We start from the raw sequence: 27,805 nt of genomic DNA, 5'->3' as shown, positions 1-27,805 counted from the left end.
ACCAAGGCTCGAGAACTACGTGAAGAATGCAGAAGCCTCAGGAGCTGATGTGATCAACTGGAAGAAAGGGTATCAGCAATGGAAGATGAAATGAATGAAATGAAGCGAGAAGGAAGTTTAGAGAAAAAAGAATAAAAAGAAATGAGCAAAGCCTCCAAGAAATATGGGACTATGTGAAAAGACCAAATCTACGTCTGATTGGTGTATCTGAAAGTGATGGGGAGAATGGAACCGAGTTGGAAAACACTCTACAGGATATTATCCAGGAGAATTTCCCCAATCTAGCAAGGCAGGCCAATGTTCAGATTCAGGAAATACAGAGAACGCCACAAAGATACTCCTCCAGAAGAGCAACTCCAAGACACATAATTGTCAGATTCACCAAAGTTGAAATGTAGGAAAAAATGTTAAGGGCAGCCAGAGAGAAAGGTCGGGTTACCCTCAAAGGGAAGCCCATCAGACTAACAGCGGATCTCTCAGCAGAAACCCTACAAGCCAGAAGAGAGTGGAGGCCAATATTCAACATTCTTAAAGAAAAGAATTTTCAACCCAGAATTTCATATCCAGCCACACTAAGCTTCATAAGTGAAGGAGAAATAAAATACTTTACAGACAAGCAAATGCTGAGAGATTTTGTCACCACCAGGCCTGCCCTAAAAGAGCTCCGGAAGGAAGCGCTAAACATGGAAAGGAACAACCTGTACCAGCCGCTGCAAAATCATGCCAAAATGTAAAGACCATCGAGACTAGGAAGAAACTGCATCAACTAACGAGCAAAATCACCAGCTAACATCATAATGACAGGATCAAATTCACACATAACAATATTAACTTTAAATGTAAATGGACTAAATGCTCCAATTAAAAGACACAGACTGGCAAATTGGATAAAGAGTCAAGACCCATCAGTGTGCTGTATTCAGGAAACCCATCTCACGTGCAGAGACACACATAGGCTCAAAATAAAAGGATGGAGGAAGATCTACTAAGCAAATGGAAAACAAAAAAAGGCAGGGGTTGCAATCCTAGTCTCTGATAAAACAGACTTTAAACCAACAAAGATCAAAAGAGACAAAGAAGGCCATTACATAATGGTAAAGGGATCAATTCAACAAGAAGAGCTAACTATCCTAAATATATATGCACCCAATACAGGAGCACCAAGATTCATAAAGCAAGTCCTGAGTGACCTACAAAGAGACTTAGACTCCCACACATTAATAATGGGAGACTTTAACACCCCACTGTCAACATTAGACAGATCAACGAGACAGAAAGTCAACAAGGATACCCAGGAATTGAACTCAGCTCTGCACCAAGCGGACCTAATAGACATCTACAGAACTCTCCACCCCAAATCAACAGAATATACATTTTTTTCAGCACCACACCACACCTATTCCAAAATTGACCACATACTTGGAACTAAGCTCTCCTCAGCAAATGTAAAAGAACAGAATTTATAACAAACTATCTCTCAGACCACAGTGCAATCAAACTAGAACTCAGGATTAAGAATCTCACTCAAAACCGCTCAACTACATGGAAACTGAACAACCTGCTCCTGAATGACTACTGGATACATAACAAAATGAAGGCAGAAATAAAGATGTTCTTTGAAACCAATGAGAACAAAGACACAACATACCAGAATCTCTGGGATGCATTCAAAGCAGTGCGTACAGGGAAATTTATAGCACTAAATGCCCACAAGAGAAAGCAGGAAAGATCCAAAATTGACACCCTAACATCACAATTAAAAGAACTAGAAAAGCAAGAGCAAACACATTCAAAAGCTAGAAGAAGGCAAGAAATAACTAAAATCAGAGCAGAACTGAAGGAAATAGAGACACAAAAACCCTTCAAAAAATCAATGAATCCAGGAGCTGGTTTTTTGAAAGGATCAACAAAATTGATAGACCGCTAGCAAGACTAATAAAGAAAAAAAGAGAGAAGAATCAAATAGACGCAATAAAAAATGATAAAGGGGATATCACCACCGATCCCACAGAAATGCAAACTACCATCAGAGAATACTGCAAACACCTCTACGCAAATAAACTAGAAAATCTAGAAGAAATGGATAAATTCCTCGACACATACACCCTCCCAAGACTAAACCAGGAAGAAGTTGAATCTCTGAATAAACCAATAACAGGAGCTGAAATTGTGGCAATAATCAATAGTTTACCAACCAAAAAGAGTCCAGGACCAGATGGATTCACAGCCGAATACTATCAGAGGTACAAGGAGGAACTGGTACCATTCCTTCTGAAACTATTCCAATCAACAGAAAAAGAGGGAATCCTCCCTAACTCATTTTATGAGGCCAGCATCATTCTGATACCAAAGCTGGGCAGAGACACAACCAAAAAAGAGAATTTTAGACCAATATCCTTGATGAACATTGATGCAAAAATCCTCAATAAAATACTGGCAAAACGAATCCAGCAGCACATCAAAAAGCTTATCCACCATGATCAAGTGGGCTTCATCCCTGGGATGCAAGGCTGGTTCAATATACGCAAATCAATAAATGTAATCCAGCATATAAACAGAGCCAAAGACAAAAACCACATGATTATCTCAACAGATGCAGAAAAAGCCTTTGACAAAATTCAACAACCCTTCATGCTAAAAACTCTCAATAAATTAGGTATTGATGGGACGTATTTCAAAATAATAAGAGCTATCTATGACAAACCCACAGCCAATATCATACTGAATGGGCAAAAACTGGAAGCATTCCCTTTGAAAACTGGCACAAGACAGGGATGCCCTCTCTCACCACTCCTATTCAACATAGTGTTGGAAGTTCTGGCCAGGGCAATTAGGCAGGAGAAGGAAATAAAGGGTATTCAATTAGGAAAAGAGGAAGTCAAATTGTCCCTGTTTGCAGATGACATGATTGTATATCTAGAAAACCCCACTGTCTCAGCCCAAAATCTCCTTAAGCTGATAAGCAACTTCAGCAAAGTCTCAGGATACAAAATCAATGTACAAAAATCACAAGCATTCTTATACACCAATAACAGACAAACAGAGAGCCAAATCATGAGTGAACTCCCATTCACAATTGCTTCAAAGAGAATAAAATACCTAGGAATCCAACTTACAAGGGATGTGAAGGACCTCTTCAAGGAGAACTACAAACCACTGCTCAAGGAAATAAAAGAGGATACAAACAAATGGAAGAACATTCCATGCTCATGGGTAGGAAGAATCAATATCGTGAAAATGGCCATACTGCCCAAGGTAATTTACAGATTCAATGCCATCCCCATCAAGCTACCAATGACTTTCTTCACAGAATTGGAAAAAACTACTTTAAAGTTCATATGCAACCAAAAAAGAGCCCGCATCACCAAGGCAATCCTAAGCCAAAAGAACAAAGCTGGAGGCATCACACTACCTGACTTCAAACTATACTACAAGGCTACAGTAACCAAAACAGCATGGTACTGGTACCAAAACAGAGATATAGATCAATGGAACAGAACAGAGCCCTCAGAAATAATGCCGCATATCTACAGCTATCTGATCTTTGACAAACCTGAGAAAAACAAGCAATGGGGAAAGGATTCCCTATTTAATAAATGGTGCTGGGAAAACTGGCTAGCCATATGTAGAAAGCTGAAACTGGATCCCTTCCTTACACCTTATACAAAAATCAATTCAAGATGGATTAAAGACTTAAACGTTAGACCTAAAACCATAAAAACCCTAGAAGAAAACCTAGGCATCACCATTCAGGACATAGGCATGGGCAAGGACTTCATGTCCAAAACACCAAAAGCAATGGCAACAAAAGACACAATTGACAAATGGGATCTAATTAAACTAAAGAGCTTCTGCACAGCAAAAGAAACTACCATCAGAGTGAACAGGCAACCTACAAAATGGGAGAAAATTTTCGCAAGCTACTCATCTGACAAAGGGCTAATATCCAGAATCTACAATGAACTCAAACAAGTTTACAAGAAAAAAACAAACAACCCCATCAAAAAGTGGGCAAAGGACATGAACAGACACTTCTCAAAAGAAGACGTTTATGCAGCCAAAAAACACATGAAAAAATGCTCATCATCACTGGCCATCAGAGAAATGCAAATCAAAACCACAATGAGATACCATCTCACACCAGTTAGAATGGCAATCATTAAAAAGTCAGGAAACAACAGGTGCTGGAGAGGATGTGGAGAAATAGGAACACTTTTACACTGTTGGTGGGACTGTAAACTAGTTCAACCATTGTGGAAGTCAGTGTGGCGATTCCTCAGGGATCTAGAACTAGAAATACCATTTGACCCAACAATCCGATTACTGGGTATATACCCAAAGGACTATAAATCTTGCTGCTATAAAGACACATGCACAGGTATGTTTACTGCAGCATTATTCACAATAGCAAAGAATTGGAACCAACCCAAATGTCCAACAATGATAGACTGGATTAAGAAAATGTGGCACATATACACCATGGAATACTATGCAGCCATAAAAAATGATGAATTCATGTCCTTTGTAGGGACATGGATGAAATTGGAAATCATCATTCTCAGTAAACTATCGCGAGAACAAAAAACCAAACACCGCATATTCTCACTCATAGGTGGGAACTGAACAATGAGATCACATGGACACAGGAAGGGGAATATCACACTCTGGGGACTGTGGTGGGGTGGGGGGAGGGGGGAGGGATAGCATTGGGAGATATACCTAATGCTAGATGATGAGTTAGTGTGTGCAGCGCACCAGCATGGCACATGTATACATATGTAACTAACCTGCACAAGGTGCACATGTACCCTAAAACTTAAAGTATAATAAAAAAAAAAAGAAAAAGAAAACAGCCCTTTGAATGTAAAATAGAAAATAAAATAACATAAAAATGAAAGCAAGTTATATGGTCTATATGCCATCTTAAGTTTAAAATCATATTCATGTTTTTATAAAATAAAGCACTGAAAAAAATCAGCTTTAATTTTTTCAACTCATCATAAAATGAAGAAAATTCCACATGTAATCTACTAACTCTCATTCCCCAGTACCATTCCTTTTTATTTTAAATGGAAACAATCTATTGGACTTTTGGAGTTCTCCGTATCTTTGTCACAACTCACAAGCTGAAAAAACTTAATTGAGGTTTCAACCAACGGTAGAGCAGTGTGCAAGTTTATCCACACCATTTTGTGGAAAATCAAGCACACTGCCTCCTATTGGATGAAAATCTAAAACCTCCTTAACAAATACAAGCTAAGAGACCTTCAGAAGGTTCGGCTGCAGTGCAAGCAGAAAGCTGCTGCAAACCAACCCACTCTGATCCCTTTTGTAAGTTTATATTTTGCCAGGAACATTTCTATTTGACCTGTACTCCCATTCCAACCCCAAATTCTTTAGATGGAGGAACACAAAGTAGATTACCTGAATTATTATAAAACGTGATCCTGGATGGAGATAATGAGTTTTAAAACAAAGCAAAATACTAATGATGTCTGATGGAGCCAGTCACCTTGACTAAGCATTAAAGTTTAGTTCAGGCAAAAGCTTCCAGTTACCTGCACTACTCAGAAGCAACTTACAAAAAAAAATAAAGACTGGTAAATCAAATTGATAATGCAAATCCAGGGGAAAGCTGTTTCTGGTGGTGGTAAATTACATCACTTGGACCAGATTTCCCAGTGAGAACAACTGGAAAAGAACATATAAAAATCATTCCTTTGAAGGCACAGGAAAGCTAACAAGATAGTGATAAATTACCAGGTCAAGAGCCAGGGGACAATGGAGGCCCAAGAAAGACGAACCCTGAGTTTAAGGCTGCCTTTTCCTCTGTGGTCATTAGCTATGTGGCCTGCAACACTGAGCCTTCACTTATTCACCATCTCACACTATGACTTGCACTTATTTATATATTTCCACATAAGGGGAAGTATGGGCCATGAAAGTACATTGGATTACAAGTCAGAAGACCTAGACTGTGGCTTTATGTCTCTGAGAAAATTTAAGCTTTAAACATAAGCTTAATGTCTCTGGGAAAATTATTTTAGTTCTCTGTATCTCAGTTCCCTCATCAGTAAAAAACCAGGACAATATTTTCCTTGCCAGATGCTTACTAAGATTTAATGAGACATATTTAGCAAATGTAGGTAGTTATTCCCATACCATTATTCTTACTTGTGAGAGTTCTCTCTAAAGTTTATCTTTTCTGTGCGGGTTCACTTGAATAACAGCAGCAGAAATAGCAGCAACAGCAACAGAAGTAAAAACTATTTTGGGGCCGGGCACAGTGGCTCACGCATGTAATCCCAGCACTTTGGGAGGCCGAGGCAGGTAGATCACAAGGTCAGGAGTTCGAGACCAGCCTGGCCAAGACGGTGAACCCTCGTTTTGTATTTTGTAAAACTACAAAAATTAGTTGGGTGCAGTGTCAGGTGCCTGTAATCCCAGCTACTCAAGAGGCTGAGGCAGGAGAATCGCTTAAACCCCAGAAGCGGAGGTTGCGGTGAGCTGAGATCGCATCACTGCACTCTAGCCTGGGCAACAGAGCAAGACTCCATCCAAAAAAAAAAAAAAAACCTATTTCAGACCTCTTATGTGCTGAGAATCTTACAAATATTATTTCAATTAATTCTCTCGACTACCCTATGAGTGGGTATTATAACTTCCAACTGAGGATTTAGATGTAAGGTACTTCACTGAAAATGTCATAATTATTAAAAGTGGGAGCTGTAATATAATCCAGGACTATATAGCTGTAAATACCACACTTGACCACTGTGGCCCAGAGCCCGTCTTTCCCATTTCGTTATGTTTGTCTTTCAATCTGTTATCATTAGATCTGCTTAGGCTCCTTTTACTTTACTGGGCTTCAGAAATGACTTCTTCCCCTAGAAGATTCATGGTCATAATTAACATATTCGCAGAACCAAAATTTAAATCAGCTTCTTTATCCAAATGAATAACTTGCATATAATTAAATGAGATTTTACTGCATAATAAAAAAAAAGCACAATGCTCTGTGCCAGTTTGGTTGGGCGAAACTTTTACAAGAGTCCACCAAAGCTTTTAGCACCTTCATAGACTACTGTAACTGACATTATGGTTATAGCCTTTGGACACCATGGCTCTCGAAAACATAACAATGGTCAGACATGATTCTAATGAATCTGAAGTACAAACACTCATTGCAGGCACTCATCATTGAGAATACTTGGAGCAGCTACTCCTATTATCAAGACATACAACACAAGGGGTCACATAAGACTCCTCAGGTGCCCATATATTTGACAGAGTCTGGGGAAAACTTTATTGCCACCTAGGACAAGAGAAGAACCATGTGAGTAAGCTAAAGGTACCAACTCCTCTCCTGACAATGATGTGTCCTTAATAATCTCAAAGAACAAGGAATGACTGAACTCAGGGAAAAACGTGTCTAAAAATACATGAAACCACTGATTTAAGTGAAAAGCAGTACAGGTTTCTTTTCTTTCTTTTTTTCTCTCCTCTCTTTAATTACTTTGGATTTTTCAGGACCACCCAGAAACTTCACTATTTTAAGACATGGCTATTTATTTCTCTCTTGATCAAGACCGCCAATGGATATGAAACAGTTCCAGAAGGTCCATATGCTAGATTTCTATTTCTATTTTCTTCAAATAGAAATCAAGTCTGGAGAAAAAAAATATTTAGAATTGCATCTGGAATGACAGAGCTGCACATCATTCAATGTTAGTGTCAATTTTCACAGCTATCAAGCTAAGATAACAGTAGGGGAGCAGCACAAATCTCAAAACTGTAGAGTAATAGTGATGAAGTAGTATGTTTACCCACACATTCATCCTAATTTTAAATATCATTGTCTATCAAATAAAGTTTAAATTTGAGTCTATACAGTCATTTATTTTAAAAATATTTATTTAGAGCCAACTAGCACAAGACACACTAAATACTATGGGGGGTTTTTTTCTTCCAAAAAGGTGAATCAGATATGGATCCTACCTTGAAGTAGCTGACACTCAAGTGATAATATAAGAATATAGGCCGGGCGCGGTGGCTCACGCCTGTAATCCCAGCACTTTGGGAGGCCGAGGCGGGCGGATCACAAGGTCAAGAGATCAAGACCATTCTGGCCAACATGATGAAACCCCGTCTCTATTAAAAGTACAAAAATTAGCTGGGCGTAGTGGCGCACGCCTGTAATCCCAGCTACTCGGGAGGCTGAGGCAGGAGAATCGTTTGAACCCGGGAGGCAGAGGTTGCAGTGAGCCGGGATTGTGCCAGTGCACTCCAGCCTGGCGACAGGGTGGGACTCCATCTCAAAAAAAAAAAAAAAAAAAAAAAAGAATATATACAAAAATATAATGATGTAGAAAATGGAATGTACTTAGAGAAGTACAGTAAAGTGCTTTAGTAATTATTTGTTTTAGCTCTCATGCCCTAGCCTCATCCTAGAATAATATGAAGAATTATTTGTCAAATAAAAGTTATTCATGACAGAAAGATCTATACAATACTGTAAATACAAATAATATAAAACTTCCCCAACAGTTTTGTACAAAAATTAATTATATAGCTTGAGTTTGTTTTAGTGTTATATGAAGCAAGCCATGAGTTGATTAAATGTGCCAGCATTTTTCTGGTATACGCTTAAGCACATGCACATATAACTACAAAATATAAATCTACATTTATCCTTGTTAAATAGATTGGAGAAGAGTAAAAATTCAGTATGATCAGGCACTCATCATTGAGAATACTTGGAGCAGTCACTCCTATTATCCAAAGTTACTCCATTGAGTCAGACTGTTCATTTTTGTTAGGCCCCTTAGTGTGGGTTCAAATCTTGCCTCTGTTATTTTCTAGATATGTGGCCTTGGACTCATTTCCTCATCTATAAATTGGAACTAATAGTCCTGAGACAAAGATAAAAGCCCGAGTAGTTGACTTGAGAGCAGAGCCAAGAAGTGCCAATGGGGAGTGGCAAAACGTGATGAAAAGTGGAGAAAAAGCAATAAAGGGTGTATGCTGTTGAGCGGCAACGGGTGCTCACTCCTGCCAGAGAACTCTGGAGGATGGTGTATAACATAACTCTCACACTTACCCTGCATAAAGGATGAGGGAACCTGGGCATTAATCTACTAAGTCTATCAGTCATTGGCTGAGCATGGTGGCTATGTAGCCTCTGCCAAACAGGGATAGCCCTCAGGCAAAAAACTGCAGGTGTTGAGCAGGTGGAAGCATTCAGGAATGGTGAGAGGTTAAGAGATAGGAATGGGACATGCACAGCATGTGCTACCACTGCCTACTTCAAAGGGACATGGTGAGGATTAAATGAAATAACATATGAAAAGTCCTTGATCAATGCCTAGCACATAATAATGCTCAATAAAAGTTAATTTTCTTATATTCCTTTGGCATATCTTATTTGGGTGTGTGTTTAACTCTTCTCCCATTTTCTTTACAAAATAGAGAAATCTAGTTAGTGAAGTTCACTGGACTTAGTTCTAAGACTGCTAACCAATGTTTATGACCTTGACTTCAGACCCAATAGGTTAGAAAGGAACTAACAACTGCCGTTAAACAATACAAGCTAGATTTTTATTTCTCAGGCAGCTGGGGAGTTTCACCACTCCAAATGCAAAAAATGAAACATATTCCTGTTAACACTGTTAGTGATTTCATCCACAAATTCTTATTCATTGTTGTGGGTGAGAAGATCTGTGTTCATTCGGTTCTCACAAACTACTTATCAGTGAGATCTAAACCTAAATTTCCTATGTTAGGCAATAGACCAAATTTAAAATGATACCAATAGAGACTCAGTCTTGACTACTTCTCACTGTTTATACATGGCTTTCTCTTCAAAAAGCAACAACTGGTAAGATTTTTCCTATTTATTGTATATGAAATGTGCTTCTAGTCAAAAACACCTACTCCAAGATAGGAAGTCATGGACTTGCCTTTTTCTATAACTTCCTGTCCCCAATTCAAACCACTCATAAATTCCCTCTTGATTAAAACAAGACTACAGTGATAATTTCTTTACTCTGTGCTTACAAATGTGTTCCATCAACTCTTTTTTTTTTTTTTTTTTTTTTTTGGAGATGAAATTGCTCTGCTGCCCAGGCTGGAGTGCAGTGGTGCAATTTTAGCTCACTGCAACCTCTGCCTCCCGGGTTCCAGTGATTCTCCTGCCTCAGCCTCCCAAGTAGCTGGGATTACAGGTGCCTGCCACCGCACCAGGCCAATTTTTGTATTTTTAGTAAAGATGGGGTTTCACCATCTTGGCCAGGCTGGTCTTGAACTCCTGACCTCATGATCTACCCGCCACAGCCTCCCAAAGTGCTGGGATTACAGGTGTGAGCCACCGCGCCCGGCCTATGTTCCATCAATTATAGGACATTTCTCCCCCACATCTCAGAAGTAGGGTTGTGTCTTATACTCAGTGGCATATAATAACTTCTGGCTTTCAGGTTCCGGTCATGCTATAGTTTTCATTGCCTGAGCATGTACAGCCTTTATCTTAGCAGTTCATATTATGTCACGTCCACTGACTTGTGTGCAATGTTAATACTCCTCAATGAATTAATTACCATTTAAATTATCTTTTAAAACCACACCATGACTTATCATTGAGCAAAAAAGTTACTGTGTGCACAGAAAGGTATGGAAATAGTGTAGTTAGAAGTATAAAGTTGAACTGAGTGAGGCAAACATTCATGACTGAAGAATGACAGCAATTTCATATTTTCTCACAAAGCAAAAGCTAAGCTGAAAGCTTTCCAGGATGTGAGACAAGAAAATACATCCAGATAGAATAAACTGTGTTATGCTTTGTTACTGAAAGACACGCACAGAGATCACTAACCTATGTCAAGGTCAAGCAATACAACTAAGCTCAGGAAAAACTGGCAAATCCCTGAAATAGATGTGGTTTAATTAATTAATGTATCATGTAGGACTATTGTGAGAGCATTAAACATCAATTTGCCTAAAATTTCTTGCTGACTTTGAACAGAGGCTTCTTAACTTCAGGCAACGTACAGTTCAACTGAGGAGGAAAAATGAAGTTTTGAGTTTAGTCGAAAAGGAAAGTTTTTGAAAGGATATAAGAGGCTCAGAAAAAAGAAATCATGAAGGCAACAGTGGCACACCCAAGAAATGCCGCATCAACAATGCTCGTTATAGTACACGGGAGGGACAATGCTACATGGAAAAACACAGCGATGAGCTGTAGTTTAATGACTTGCCATGATTTAGGGGAATCAAACTTTGAATGTGAAGAAGTTTCAGGGATACCTTACTCAGTTTATGTTGCTTGTATCTTTCTTCTTATTCAGGCACAAGAGTAATGTATGATAAAATGTATGTCTAAATAAGTCTAAGAGAGCTCTTTCAAAAACAAAAATAAAAGTAAGGGATAAAACTATTACATCATAGTTTAATTGGCAGTGTCTGGTTTTTTTTTCCTGATTCGTCCACAAAGCAATGCCATAACTTAGAGTAGATGGCATTGTTGTCATACAGTGGCAATAGTAACTACCAATTCTTGGATGCCTGTCACATGCCAGGCACCATTACTTGGAACTTCATGTACTTTATCTCAATTAGTCCTTACAAAGCCTTAAGATGTATATATAGAGTGTCCTCGTGAAACATGCACACCTTTGAAAAGTAGATGCCAAATGGGGTCATGCATCTAATGCAGTTTTTACAGCATTTAGCACCACTGTATTATTATTGTTGTTATTATTATTGTCTTCCAAAGGATATCAGTAATTAAGAACCAAAACCCTGAATCTGAAATGATAGTGAAGATAACCCAGGGAAACTCAATGTGTGGTTTAATTCATTGAGACCAAACAAGCAACGCCATTTTTAGTTACTTTGTGTAAGCAACATAATTTGGATATATATTTGCATATCTTATTGAAGAAGAAAAAACTTATTCTATATTTTTCTCACTCGATGTGTTTTATGTTACAGTAAATCATTTACAGTACCCAAAGCTAGCAAAGGCTGGATTCTGTTGTTTAACTTTTTTAAAGTACAGGAAACTCCCTGTAACAGCTCCCATCCTAACCCTGTGAAAGGGGTGAGCCTGTGGTTCTGAGCACCTCAGAAATGGCCATTTCCTCACTCTGTACAGACTATGTTTTCCATCAAACTCCAGTCACCCCTTGATGAGAAAGGCACTAAAGAACCATATTCATTAACTTTCTTAATATCATGTTCCCCTTCTGTACTGTTTGTTTGCTGGTTCAGTAAGAATATAAAAAGAAAGCAACCTGAAATCAAATCCGAATGGCCACTCTCACCTCTCCAAAGCAGAACCAGTCCTTGGGGAATAGTCTAGTTCACCACCGTACAGATAAGGAAACCAATACTCCGTGAGTTCCACCACTTGCTAAGGACACAGAGCTAGTTAAGTATTTGTTCCAAAAGGGATTTGAACCCCAGTCTGACCTAATTCTGTTCAACTGATATGCCACAGTTTATATTTTGCAACTATTAGCTTTTAGGTTGCTTTCAGTGCTTCATAATTCAAATTCTAAATGTAAACATTATGGTACCAAATGGATTTTAGGTTACTGCTTTTAGTGCATTAAGTTAGATGACTGATGCCAAGTACAAGATTAGTTTTATGATTGACATTTTCCTAGAGGACTCTCAGGAAAGACCATATCACAAATAAGTGGGTATGTCGATTTCACCATATGTCTGTCAGCACTATATATTAACAAATTTGGCTAAATCAATATAGGTGAAGTGTACCTAACAGTTGCTTTCACTTGTATATATTCATCACTGGTAAGATTGGAAATTTTTGTGTATATTGACTTGAATTATGAGGATATGTGAATGAACATGTATGTGAATATTTATTTATGGTGGTTTGACTATAATCTATCTATATCTTTTAGCATCTGTACAGGAGAGACCAGGTTTTGTTCTTATAAAACCCAAAAATATTTGAGGTATCTTAGAAAAAGGGGAGGGGTGTGGAAACAGAGGTAGTATACTTCCTTTTCAAAAAATGATTAAAAACTACACAGTTATTGGACAAGCATCTGTAATTATGTGAGACATTATGAAAATACATGGAGTATCAAGCAATACTTGTATACAACTATATGTTTAATTGCTTTAATTCTGTGGGAATGTAGAATATTTCCTTATATTTATTAGAATATAGGACAAGTACATATAATAATTTTAGAGTACTTAATGAGAAATAAATTGCATCACACCATCCAAGTGAAATTCACAAGAGAATGGGAAGCCAGAATAAAGAGGGAGGAAATGAACATTGATTTACTTCTTAAAGAGAATAGAGAATAGATGGAAGGGTAGACAGGAGACACAATTTTAAGTGAAGAAAAAATCCTTCTTCGCTCTGGCTTGATGGAAGAAGCTGTGTACCCATGGTTCACATTTCCCAGAATGAAGGGGGTAGCCGGGGAGTCACATAAAATGAGCTTTAGAAATGAGATATGGTAGAGCCAAGTGACTGAAGGTACTCAATGCCTGGCACTGGAGTTCAATCTGAACAGGGGCCAAAAGAGCCATGTAAAGTATGTACACAGGTGTGTGATGGGAGAGCACTGGGCTGTGAGTCCAGCAAAGGTGTGAGGGGCACACCAATGCAGAGACATGGGCAAAAAGGCTACTTCGGATGCCAACACAGAAAGTCAGGTGGAAAAACAGGGCCTGAGCCAAGGGGCGTTTCCAGAAAGATTTCCAAATGAACAACAGCGGGCCAGGGAGATGAACTGAACACGGAGATTCAGGGAGACACAGAGCCACATGTTGTGGTCCACAGCACAGCGGGCGTGCTGCTTTTAAAGGAACGAAGGCCAGCAATTTCCATGTATATGTTTCTAAAACAATGTACTGTCACAGAAAGGTCAAAATCATCTCTTTGTAATTAGCAGACTCAAACTAGGTCAGGGAAAAGTATTTTAAGAAAACTAAACTAATATAAACACACCTCTAGCCAGGAATAAAATTGGTAAGCATTATGAAGTTGATGATGATCACTATTTTCCTCACTGTGATTGTTTGAATTTAATTATTACCTTATTCACATTTAAATCCTACTTTATTTCACAGAGGATTTGAAAAGGCATACAGAGAAAGTGATGCTTCAATTAATTCTTTATTTGTTTTTTTAGTCTCCTTATTTTAAAATGCATAAATACCAAATGTGTCCATTAAAGCACCATTCAATATTTGATGTAAAGAAAGTTTTTTAAAGTACACATCACAACTTGTGCATTGTATTCTACTTGACTTCTATCCTATACTATATTCTACAGTATTTCAACTATTTCAATTTTTCAAAACAGCAAGAAAACCATCAGAAAGCCTCTAAGATATACCATATTCAACTGTAGTGAGGCAGAATATTATACAATTAAGTAATATCAGTTGCATCTCACTAGCAGCAACACAGGGTATGTGGTCATTATAACATGAAACTAGTTCTTTCATGTTTATCTTGCTGGCTAAGATCATGGGAATTACCAAAATATTTACTTTCTGCACTGTGTTCCCATAGACAGTTATAATTGGGATGATACTTTAACAGTCACAAAGGCAGACTTAATACTGACACCAGACTTCCTCTTTTTGTTTGCCTTTTAAGAAGAGGTCATTAATAACGGCAATGATTAGCCATCGCAGTCATCACTCAACCCAGACAGCAAGCACAATGGCCCTTACATTAAACCTGACCTATGACGTAGAAGTCTTTAAACCTTGTAAGTGAGCTTTGATAATTCCCTCCACACAATAGCATTTCCTATTATAAACATCTGTTTTCTCACATGAACCATGCTGAACATGTTATAAATAAGTTTCTCTTTCCATATCAGTTTGTAAAAGGGATAATCAATCAAAAAATAAGGCTGAAGGCCCAAGTCTCCTTCCCCCACTGATGTAAATTTCCATCCTAACTTTCCCAGGGGATTTTTAAGTTCAGTACTAGGGAAGGTAACTATTAAACCCTTAAGAACACAGTAAAGCTTTCCTTCTTCAAATTATAGATAATATCTAGTAAAGACATTGAACGTACTTTAAAAGAAAAGAAACAGGCATAATGCTATACAATGTGCTAATATTCCTTCCAACTCTGGGATTCTATGCAATCAGGTCCCCAAACCAGTGCACTATTGCTCTTTTCATTAGAGATTCCTCTGGAGTCAGGTGAGCATAAATGAATATTAGAACAGACATCTGATACAGGCAGTTTTGGAAATATCAAAACTGCTCCTTCTTGTTCTCTTGCCATAAGCTGGATGAAGAATCTTAGTCATTTAAGCTGTTTACTAAGATAATGAGAAGGAGATTTGTACAGAGATCAGGAAGGGCAAAGAGGATTCATCTACATACCAACTCTAAGTGACAGTGACCACCTAGAATGCTGTATTCAAAAGGATTCTGAGACCACGTGCAGGCTCAACAGAAAAAAATTAATCATGGTTACAATGTTTACCAAGGCCACATGGGGGAATAGGAACAGCATCACTTGTGCCAGCTTCTTGCCTCTCTTATATGCATACATCTCCCCAGAGAAGTTTCTTGTTCCTAAAAGTGTCTGGTTATTGCACATCTGAACAGGCTGAACCTAGGATATCACAAATAGGTACTGCAAATGCAAACACCATGGTATAACTTAATGTCAGTATCCTACCCTAATTTCATTAGTGTGTTAAAATGTGCTGAGGTGGTCAACTCAACTGATAAGATGTTTTTTCTCTTGACGACTGATAGTGCTATGCAACAGAACTTTCTGCAATAACGGAAATGTCCTATATCTGGGCTATCCAATGTGGTAGCCACTCATTCACATGTGGCTATTGGGTAGCTGAAATACAGCCAGTGTGTTCTTATTTCTTTTTATTTAAATTCACATGACAAGGGGCTACCATATTAGGCAGCACAGGACTAGAATGTTTGCTTGCAATGTTAAAGTAAATCCACAAAGGATTGGCTCTAAGTCTGTTTTGCTTAGTGAGGTATGCTATGTGCCTAGAACACTGCCTAAGACATAGTATGTGCTAAGATCTTCATTGAATGAATAAATGAGTAAAGAGATTTGTCCTATCAGGCCATCCTGAAGTATGGATGGTTTTGCATCTTTTGGCTTCTGTGCAGCATGATTAGAGGGAGATGTGTATAATACCACAATTCAACACTCTCTCAGACTCAAACCAGTAACACAGCCCTCACTGAGCTTAGCAGATAAAGTATTTTCCATAGAACTTCAAGCAGACAGAGGGTCAATCGAGACATGTTTAAATTCTGCATTGAGAATTCAAATACCCTGAAATATCTCCAGCCCCTAACCTGAAAGATATGAAAACAATTTATTTTAAAATTGCCCAATCTGATACTCTGCTAGAACATTATTTTGGGTGACACTTCTTTATCATCACAGGAAGATGGTAGAGACAATACTAGGTTATCAAACGGAACCAAGTGTAAGAGCTTTTTTAGGAGACACCAAATAGAATACTTAATGTTCTTCTGTCATGAAAAGGGGTATCCCCACAAAAACACATCTGGCCCATATAACTTTGAGCACTTTTAAAAATTTACATATACCAGCATTTATTTGCCCCAAAATAGTATTGAGGAGTGACAAAAATGGAAAGGCATCATTAAAGAGACAGATCACAGACAACGATTAATTCTGCTCCAAATGAAATGGCATTTTAAACAAAATACTGACAATATAGTGTGGAGAACATTACTTTTCATCAGCAATAGCACATTCTAAATATTTTTGCATTGTGAACCTGATGTCATTAGGGAGAAAACACTCCACGGTTGGCTATTGCATTTAGGCTGCCTTTTAACACATACCATCAAAATAACAACAAATCATTACACAGTGCTGTCTGAAACATAAACAAAACATCTTCTGAGCACTTTCTTTTACCTCTCAATACTTGTGGGGACATGTGACCTTGAGCTGAGAGGCTCTTCTGAAAATGTCGTCCACATGTCTAAAGTTTTCCCTCTCACACATGTACTCTGCCATCCACCCTCAACCAAACCATCTAAATTACATTCAGATTTTTGTGGTATCATAATAACTTCAATATGGGATATATTTTCAACATTCTGGTAAGAGAGTCCTTTCTTCCCTGCCTCACCCTTCTTCCAAGTTATTTCAGGTTTGCATATTTCATTTTCACAACTCAGTGGGATACCCATCACATAACATTTATTTGTGAGGTCTAAAGGCATAATGTGGGGGATTGTGAACTAGCATGTCAAAACCACATACTGCATGCGTATGTCTTAAAGAATGAAAAAGGTTTCCTTTTTTCTCAAGATGTATAAGCTGTCTCAACAGTATAAGTCCGAAGTGAATACCACAACCTAATTAAAGATGAAGAGCATAACAAGCAGTATTAAAATGTCTTTTTTGATTCATTCTTCTCCAAGTTATGTTTTTATCAAATGTTTTGTCTCATTAATGACTCCAAAGACATAATGAGTATACATACCTTCTAATCTCACCGAATTCAGAAGAGAGTTGAAAGAATTTTCTTCTACATGTTTTGGGGGCTATGACAGCAGAGAATGTACAGGCAGGGTAGAAAGGGGCTTTCAGGAGAGACTAAGTCCATTCACCTGCCTACAGGGATAAGCATGCTTACATATTCCCAGATAAATAAGACTTTTTAAAGATCTCTCAAGTAAGAAATACCACAATCTCTTCTGGGTACCAATTCCTACATTTAGAACATTTATTTCTAGGAAAGTCTTCCTTTGAGTCTAACCATGCTTCAGGGCCAGCTTCATGAGCATTCAAGCTCTGCAGTCACAAAGGGGCTCATGCTCAGAAGGACAACCTGCCAGCCCTGCCTGGCTTAATGTTTTGTTGTCACCATCTTGAAATTTTTAATAATTTTACCTCTGAATTTGTGTTTCCTAAGTGAACTCTGATGGAGCAATGAAGCACGTGTATAAAAAGGGAAGATATATGCAGTATGCATGCCCCCTTTCTCCTTTCTGTCTCATTCACATGTAGCCCCATGAGCTCTGAATTCCTGTGGCCCCATGATGAGTAGGGGTTCAGGGAGACTCAAAGCAACTACAAGGAAGGCATGTTATGTCTAGACTGATTAAGTGGGGACACTGGTAGCCCTGAGAGGCTTTCCATGAGAACCAGACATATTTTGAATAAAGAAGGAAGGCAACAGAGTTCAAAGCAACAGGAATGACCGAAGAAGCCCATTGTATCTTTTCTTACTCCTGTTACTTCCCCTGTATTACCTAATCACTTACAGTGAAAATGATAACATAGAAGGAAAGAAAAAGAGTGATACATAGTTCCTTTTCCTTTCAGTCCTTCCTTTCTCATCAGTAAGCTGAAGGTAGAGAGCACTGGAAGATAGGCACATATCAAGAAATGAAATAAAAAGTTAAGTCTGGTGATTCCACAGTTCTATAAGAACAAAATATATGTGTAAGTACAAGCTACAAAATATAAATTGTGTAATTTTGTTGATTCTGCATATGAGTCTAATGCAGTCATATTTGTATTTCAAAGAGGCACTGCACATTACAAAGACCAATGGTAAAATTCACACTAACAATTTAAATTTTTTATTTTTCTTACTTAGAACATAAAATAGCAAATAAAAAACGCCATGACAAGTCAGGAGAGATGCTGCAGAAGGAAAAAAGCTTTGCTTTTAGTACGTGTTTTAACAGCACTTTATCACCTCTTCCCCTACTTTTTGAACAAGGAAGTTCAAGTATTCATTATGCACTAGGCCTTGCAAATTATGTAGCTGGCCCTGACCCGCTTCCTCATGCTCCAGATTACATCCACTGCATCTATTCTTTGAGGTCACCATTTGTTAGTTTTCACCCTTTCCTTCATTCATCTACCCGACAAATACTGACTGCTCTGTGCTCAGGCACTGTGCCAGGTACTGAGGATATAAAAAGGAATAAGATATTATCATTCTTAAGTGTAGTTGTGAAGATGGACAAATAACCATGAAAGTTACTAAGACTGGGCCAGATGTGATAGTTCACGCCTTGTAATCCCAGCACTTTGGGAGGCCGAGGCAGAAGGATCACTTGAGGTCAAGAGTTCAAGACCAGCCTGGCCAACACAGTGAAACTCTGTCTCTATGAAAAATACAAAAAAAATTAGTTAGGCATGGTGGCACGCACCTGTAATCCCAGCTACTCTGGAGGCTGAGGCAGGAGATTCGCTTGAACCCAGGAGGCAGAGGTTGCAGTGAGCTGAGATCACACCATTGCACTCCAGTCTGGGCAACAGAGCAAGACTCCATCTCAAAACGAAAAAACAAACAAACAAACAAACAAAAAAACTGATCTTGCATAACTTTAGTGAGGACAATAAATAATATACATAAAATGTACAAATCACTTCCAGTAATGATTGCTAATCTTTAGCACTCTATGTAATTATCTCATTTAATCCCTATTACAACTTACTGGGTAGGTCCTACTATTGTTTCCATCTTACAGCTACAGAAGAGAGATTTAGAACAGTTAAGAAACTGAACCACAGTGATTTTGTCACCAAGTGGTGGAACCAATAACTGAAGTCACCCAAACCTGTTTGACTACTAAATCTGAGTTCATAAGTGACAGCTATCATTCTTATTAATATAATCCTAACCATTATTTATTTTCTAGTATTACAGTTGTGTCTCCATTTCTAGTTTCTCAAAGGTCAATTTTAGTCGCAATTTTGTCAATCACCTTATAATATATCATTCACCACTAAACAAAAATGTGTATTCTAACTTTTTCCAATTTACTTATTAATAGTTTGGTTAGCACATAAAATATAGCTTCTTTTTTAAAAAAAAATCTGGCAATCCTCTGACCTAACTGTAGAATATTCAATTCAGCTGATAAAACTGTGGTTTTCAAAATTACATTCATGATCCTGTTCACTAAAATATAGGCAGACAGAAAGAGTTAAGAAAAGTACTTAACTCTTAAAGCCTAAATTTTCCCATAGGTAAAACAGGGATGGAAACAGTACTTTAACTACCTCACTGGCCCATGTTTAAGAGTAAATAATTCTTACAAAACACTTAACACCTGGTACCTAATAACCACTCAAAAAAATTGTTCATTTTAATATTACTATTTTTAGTTCTCAAATCTAGGTTTTAAAATGGATTTGAAATGATTTCCCCTTGAAATGTTTTCATCCAATACGAAGAACTAAGTTCAACGGTCTCTAATTTCCGAGATTTGTATTTTCTTTTGTAAATAAAAGCACACAAAAAGTCCCCCAGAACGGCCCGTGGTGGTCATATATATCTCTACAATTCAAAGGATCTCAGAGGTTTTAAGTTAAATAATCCTTTCCTGAAAATGCCAAATACTACCCTCATTTTTTCTCTTTTCATTCTAAACTGCCTATGCTAGGACTGAGGGTAAAAGAGTTTATAAACTACACATAAAGAACTCTATAAATGTAAGGAACTATTCACATCAGTTATAGCAAGGCTATCTCCATTCTCTCTAACCTTTGAAGTGACACTTAAATTTAAGAAGGTTGAGCAAATTAAAATGGCCGAAGTGTTTTCTCTGGCGGAAAAGGAAAGGATTAGCTAATCTGAAGGTTACTGCTGTCATCTAGACTGTCAAATGACTGTTTCCCTGGCTTCTAAGTGATTGAAGAACACATAAAAAGTAGACTGGACCACATAAAAATTGACTATATACCTATTCTTAAAATAGCTCTACAGAAAAAGGCCTTTGTTTGACATTTTTATTATGGTTTAAAGACAAGGAAAGCAGCATTTTTGTAAAAAATCAAACCCTTATTTGATACCTTAGAAAACCTGATAGCCATGTGATATCTTCCTAAAGCCGAAACTTCAATAATGCTGGCTGTTCCCACCACAGGCTTTCAGGTCCTTACCAATTCTTGAGTGTCTTCTTGTAGCGGCAGAAATGCCGCTTCCAGAATAGCAACCTGGTCAGCACTAAGCTTCTGCCACAGCGCGATCAGCAGAATCACCAAATGGGTGGCACTCTTCAGCCTGGTGAATGACTGGAACAGATTGCCTTGGTTTTCCTCCACTGCATCTGCTAGAGCAATTACCTGCAGATATTACAAACTTCGGTTAGGGATAATTTCACAATTATTGAGCCCTCAACAAATTATGTCTGGCACACTTTTGTTTTTCTTCAAGACAACTTGATGAACTTTGTCTTCCACAAACACAAGCTATGTTAAGTAATAAAAGAGTTATCATTCATCTGCTCACTTCCTTCTTTAAAAAAAAATGCCCACAGTAATTCCAAATCCATATGGCCAGAAGTGGAAAATATCCACAAAATAAGCTTAGCAGGGACAGTGTTCAGTGTCTGCTTTGCCATCTATTGACTTTCTTCAATATATGGTAATATAAGTAACCTCTAATAAAGTTATCACAGTCTTTATTACCAGCCACATAAATTAATCAATTAAAACATTCTCAGAAGAATAATTGCATTTGCCTTGTAGTTCAAAATAACTTCATTACACTTTTTTCAGAACATCGCTTTCCTCTAATATTAGTCTTTAGATGCTACATGGTATTGAGATATCTAATATTTCTTTATTATATCTAAAAGGTAGATAATGTTCAAACATTTGACCAGTTGAGTAATGTCATTTTTAACACAAATATCAGGCACCAGCCCACAGGGACCTGAAAGAAAAAAAAAAAAAAAGTTCAGGGTGTGTTAACTTTACAATGCCAAATCTACTTAGGATAAAATTGGCAGGAGTGAGTAGAATTGACTTTTTTTCATCTTTTTGAATAATTCTGTGGAAAAAAGAACTAAAGCAACAATTGGATGAAACATCCAAAACTTCCCATTGGTGTTTTATTTTAGTTTAATGTCTTGGTGAATTTTGTGCTCATTAAAAGTAATGAACTGACTGCCGCAGAGGCTCAAGGCGTCTGACAGTCCCCAGAACAGCATTAGCAAAAGCCAGGGCCATATGAGCTCCTTTCTACAAGCCCCCACCAGCTGGGGGACTGGAGTTCAGATGAGTTTCAGAAGTCTGGTGCAGATGATCCATTTGGTGATATTTCACGGTTTATTGACACGGGCCCAAAGGGCTTTTTAAAAAATCATCATTCAAACAAGTACAATGTACAGCTGTGTGGTCTCCCAAATTCCATGTTGGGAGAGGGGCTGTACAGAAACAGCCCTCAGAGTGTCTCGGAGATACTGGAAAAGAGATGTAGGCAGAGCAACTGAAGGTCCTTGCCTGAAATTGCTGGGGCGACCAAGATTCTTTGCCACTTCGCTGAGGGCTTGCAGGAGTTATAAAAGGCAATGACAATTCACATTTAGCTCTACAGGGAGGCATGGAAGTTTAAACGAAGAGTAGCATAATGTAAAGTGCATTGCTTGCTATGTGCCTAGTACTGTGCTACTCCCCAATTACATTCAAAAGAACTACACAATATCTTACAGTCCACAGGATCTTATAATTTGTTGGAAAGAAAACATACATACACAGCCAATTAGTGGGAAGAAACATTACTATAATAATGTCCTAATTGTGCAGAACAGAAAGTAAGTGTGAAAGAAGTTAGCAAAGGGACGGATTACTGTGGGCCAGAGTTAACATCCCTGGGGCCTCTTTTACTCAAACGGAGCTTGGAACTCATCCCTTCCCCATTACTTCAAGAAGTCCCCTCGAAAAGATGGAAAGAGCCCACTTTCCTTAAACCAAAACACCTGGAATCGTGTTCCTCCCCCACCCCCACCATGATTACAACGGACTCCTGTTAAAGTCTGAGTTTATACTCTTTTTCTTCCTGTGAATGTTACCAATTAAGCCTCATTGTGGGGCCATCACATTATGACACAGATGCTTATTGTCAAAAAGTCCAAATCATACAAGGATCAAGGTCATAAACACCCACTGAATGCCAGATATGTGCAAGAATTTGCGGGAAGTATTGTAGGGAATTCAATGGTGACAGATCTAATCTCCACCTTCAAAGAGTTTGTAATAGGAAAATCAGTCAAGGAGGCAAATATTGACCACATAAGGAAGACTCTATAGGCTATAAAGGAGAATTCCACTAACATTGCGATTATTATGTGAATAACTATCCCTCCAATTAATTGAACATAGGCCGCATGCCAAGCATTCTGCCCTGTGCCATACAGGTATCAGTGCCTTCAATCCTCACATCTCCCCTGCGACTTAGTTGATATTTTCTTTCACAGATGAGAACTCTGCGGCTCAGCAAATATAAGGTATTTGCCCAGGACTGTACGCAGGGTGTGCAAACTGTGCTCGAGCTTTGACGGGCCTGAACTTGTTTAACGCTCTGCTGTCTCTGCCTTGAAATTCTTAGTAATTTTATTTTTGAGCTTGCGTTTTGTAAGTAAAATTGATAGGGCAATGGAGCATGCACATGCGCAGAGGAGTCATGTGCACTCATGAGTTAAATGCTCATACTTGCATTTAAAACTGAATTAATGTAACGATTAATGGTAAAATTCATGCTACTTATTTGAAATTTTAGTTTTTTTCTTACTTAGAAAGCTACTAAAAAGAAAATAAGAAAATACCATCAGAAGCTGTGAAAGAGAGAGTACTGAAGAAAAGAAAAAGCTTTTTATTTTAGTGGTTTTAACAGCGCTTTCTTCCTGCATTTTGAACAAGGGCCCCTCATTTTCATTTTGCACTGGGATCCACAAAATAAGTAGTCAGCCTGACCATCACCTAGTAGATGAAAGAACAGGATTCAAACTCTGGAGTGTGTCTCACTCTAAATTTTGTTTGAGACCTTAAGCATGTTGTAGGTTCAGAGATGGGCATACTACTACTAGCTGAGTGTAGGGGGCCTTAGGAAGGAAGAGGTAGAGAAAGAAGCAGTGGTATGCCAGAACTAGCTCAGTCAGCTCCTCCCACATCAGGAGAAAGAACCTATTGTTCAGTTTTCAGAAATTTTGCAAGCCAGCTGTCACACATGGCCATTACTAACAATTAAATCACATAAACTTAAAACTAAATAAATTACATTTAAAACAAAGGTAATAAATACTCAACATTCATTACTTCCTACTATTATCTAGTTTCTTGAGGTTATTTATGCCTATTGTATCCATATGTTGGAAACACTTTGCAATGGGCTACGGTTTACATTTCTTCCCAACTTTGCATTCAGGGACCTCACATTGGTAGCCTGAAATCAGCCATGGTGGAAGTATTTACTACATGAAAATCCACAAATGTTACAAAATCAGGCTTCCTACCCTTCCCCTTCTTCCCCAGAGAGCTATTTACTAGCACACCAATGAGAAGAGGTATCTGAAATGTGTCCTAAAGAATAGATATTGAAGGCTGGGCGTGTGACTCACACCTGTAATCCCAGCACTTTGGGAGGCCGAGGCGGGCAGATCACAAGGTCAGGCATTCGAGAGCAGCCTGGCCAACATGTTGAAAACCCATCTTTACTAAAAATACAAAAAGTAGCTGGGCATGGTGGCACGTGCCTGTAATCCCAGTACTCGGGAGGCTGAGGCAGGAGAATCACTTGAACCAGGGAGTCGGAGGTTGCAGTGAGCCGAGATTGTGCCACTGCACTCCAGCCTGGTGACAGAGTGAGACTCCATCTCAAAAAAAAAAAGAATAGATATTGAATAAGTCCAGTTTAGGGACAGTGTTTGATGACATTAAAAAGGTAGGCTGGGCACTGTTGTAGAGGAACCAAAATGTCACAGTGAAAGCATTCACTTAACTCTGTAGGCACTGGGGAGCCACAGAGTATTCTGAGTGTGGGTGTTACTTAATGGAGGCTGCACTCTAAGCAGCTATCAGATCATAACAAATATTTGGGGCATTTTCTGGACTTAAAGGATGCTTTTACACACGTTCCTCACTATCAAGGGAAAAATCCTCACTAAGTGCAACAACATGTCAGTTCATGGACCCACCCAACTTGCTAAACACAGCTGTTATGGAAGAATGACTTCTCAGTGAGACAGCAGTCCAAGCCACAGGATCTTTCCTGAGCAAGGCCCAAAATATATCAATCGGACAGAAGCATCGTCTAAGTCTCAGTCTCATTGGATATATTCCTGTGCCATTGTGGAAGGAGTCTGCTATCCCCAAATGGTCACAGAAACTGGAAAGAAATGGGATAAACAATTCCTTATGTAAATTACCCCCAAGGAAAATCTTCCTGACCTACTGGCCAGCATGAAATACTAAACAGCTCTCCATGTTCTCAATTTAGTTTTACACGTAACAGCCAAGTTTACTGTGTTCCCCACAAGAGCCAAATGAATTTAACAGAATTAACATAGTAAAAAGACTGGAAAAACTACACCCATCAAGATTCAGATCTCTGAGACCAAGGCCTAGAAGATCTCGCTGCTCACCTGGAACTGAGAAATGAGGCCAACCAGCTGCTAGGACTTAAATTTGAGGGAGAGCGATTTTTAAGGGTGCATCACTGGCTGAGCAAGATGTGTGTTCCCTAGTGTTCAACAGAACTACAGAAAGGGAGGGGTTTAGGAAACAATAAATGCTAACGATTTCAAGCACAATGTGTTGATGGCCTTTGTTTTGTTTTTTCAAATTGAAGGTTTCCAAATAAAATGGAGACCCCAAAGGACATCTCTGTCCAACTGACATATCAGTTGATGCCAAAGTAATGAGGCAGAGGCCCAGGGAGCTGCTTGCAGGAAAACGCTCAACTCATAAAGTGAGTGTGAAATTAATCCCAAATACTTCCAGCTGCCAAGATAGGCTCTAAAATTGGTTACAGGAAAGCAGCAGCAGCAACAGCAGAGTAGACATGAATCATCATACTATGTGAACACGGACATGTCCAATTTCTTCACCTAAACTTACCATTGAATCTGCCTCCATATTTCATGTGTGGCACTACCACTGCCTAAACACTACATTGCTGTTTAGCTGTCATTTCCTGAGGACTGACTGTGGGCCAGGCACTGTGTGCAAGGCTGTCATACCCAGATTATCATGTGGTCCTCATGACAACCCTCTGAGATAGGAACTGCTGACCCCCTGTCCCCCCACTTCCCGATGAGGAAACAGAAGCTTACAGGCATCTGAACACACTGCCTGTGGTCATGAATAAGGGAAGATAAGGGCTAGGATTCTAATCCTGTCTTCTGATTTCCTACTGGGTGCCCTTTCTTCTACACCAATATACAAATTATATATTCAGCCCCATAATATAAACCAATATACAAATTATACATTCAGCCCCATAAAATAATCCAGTGAATTTTCATCTTGATATTTAAGCAAAGACACTAAGGAAGAACACTACTAATACATTACATCCACGATAGGCATATGTGCTTTAGTTATGCTTTCCTACTGTCGCAGCTTTAAACATGAGGTCAATTCAAATTGGCTGGTTTCTGCACAAAGTTGTGTGGTACTGCCCAAAGTTACATTATAAAGGAAATTAGTTCATAACTTGTAAGAATGGGAAGTTAACATACTAAGGTTTTTTTCTTAACAAAGAGAATTTTATTATTTTCCATATAGCTCAAAAATATGAAGATTTTAGAAAACAGACATTTTCTAGGCCTGCTCCTTTAGTGAAGCTACTTTTTTCAAGGGGATGATTCATTTATTTTCTATAAAATCTCACATTACAACATTTTCAGTGGTCTGAGCAGGTTAATGTTTTGTGATAATAATTGTCAACATTTATTGAAGGGTATCTAGGAGCCAGGGGCTGTGCTAACCTCTTTACAGAAATAATCTCACTTAATTATAAAAACAATACTGTGAGGTATATACTATTATTGCTCCCATTTTAAAAATAAGACCAGAGTACAGAAAGTGTCAAACAGTAAGCAGTAGAGCCAGAATTCATATACAAGCAATCTGACCCAAGAAACGTCACTATGAAGCACTGCCTGCATTAACCTTCTGCCTGCATATCAGTCTCATCATGTGCAATATGTGAAACTAATTCTATCAGGAGCTCCCCAATTGCAGGTTTCAGCTTCGCTAATCTCCCAATACCTGAAATTTATTACAATAAACCAGATAGATTTGTTGTAATAAAAGGTCAGCATAGATGAATGAGTTAAGAAAACGACATTCCTATGATATGGATGAATTTATACATCCCCTAGGGAAGAATGCAATAGGCTGTGCTGGAACAGGCAATGTCCTGGGAACCAAGGAGACAGAGCTTCTAGTCCTGACTTTGCTACCAAGCAGCTTTATGTCAGTGTTCATCAATTTACTTCCCTTTTCTGGGCTCTAGTTTCATCACCTTTAAAATGTAGGAAACATGATCTCTAACATCCAACATAGCTGTAAGTGTCTGATTCAAAAAGTTTTAAACTACTTTTGGATGATGTGTTGTTTTGAATTATCCATGCCACTTCTTCCCCTCTATTTGCACACATAATAGGATTCTTGTTGACATGGGGGTTTTATCTATAAAATAGCATTATGAATATTTTTCTTTGGCTAATTCATAGGATTATGAAAATTAAATGAGAGGAGTAAAAAGATGGACAATAACAAGTGCTGGCAAGGATGTGGAGAAATTGGAACCCACGTACATTGCTGATGGAAATGTAATACAGTACAGCTGCTGTGTTAAATAGGCTGGCAGCTCCTCAAAAAGTTAAACATAGAGTTACCATATGACCTAGAAATTCCACTTCTAGGTATACACCCAAGAGAAATGAAAATATATGTCCATTTAAAAACCTGCTCACGAATAGTTATAGCAGCATTACTTATAATAGCCAAAAAGTAGAA

At 38.4% G+C, this 27,805-nt stretch overlaps 1 protein-coding gene across 19 annotated transcripts in view; it reads right to left on the bottom strand.

Moving 5' to 3' along the window:
• BBS9 (Bardet-Biedl syndrome 9) overlaps positions 1-27,805 on the bottom strand; it is a 506,483-nt gene that overhangs the window by 109,181 nt on the left and 369,497 nt on the right. For 18 of the 19 annotated variants that reach the window (NR_145412.1, NR_145411.1, NR_145413.3 and 15 more), the window contains one exon: positions 20,942-21,124. The exons of the other annotated variant lie outside the window; for it this stretch is intronic. Coding sequence is in view for 15 of the 18 variants with exons in the window: in NM_001348036.1 (NP_001334965.1) it covers positions 20,942-21,124 (183 nt within the window). In the remaining 3 variants the exon portion in view is untranslated. The remainder of the gene's footprint in view (positions 1-20,941; positions 21,125-27,805) is intronic. 19 annotated transcript variants of the gene reach the window in all.

This window comes from Homo sapiens, chromosome 7, assembly GCF_000001405.40.
Source record: "Homo sapiens chromosome 7, GRCh38.p14 Primary Assembly".
Lineage (NCBI taxonomy): Eukaryota > Metazoa > Chordata > Mammalia > Primates > Hominidae > Homo > Homo sapiens.
Note: the sequence above shows the minus strand (reverse complement) of the source record. Positions and strands in the feature narration are given on the sequence as shown.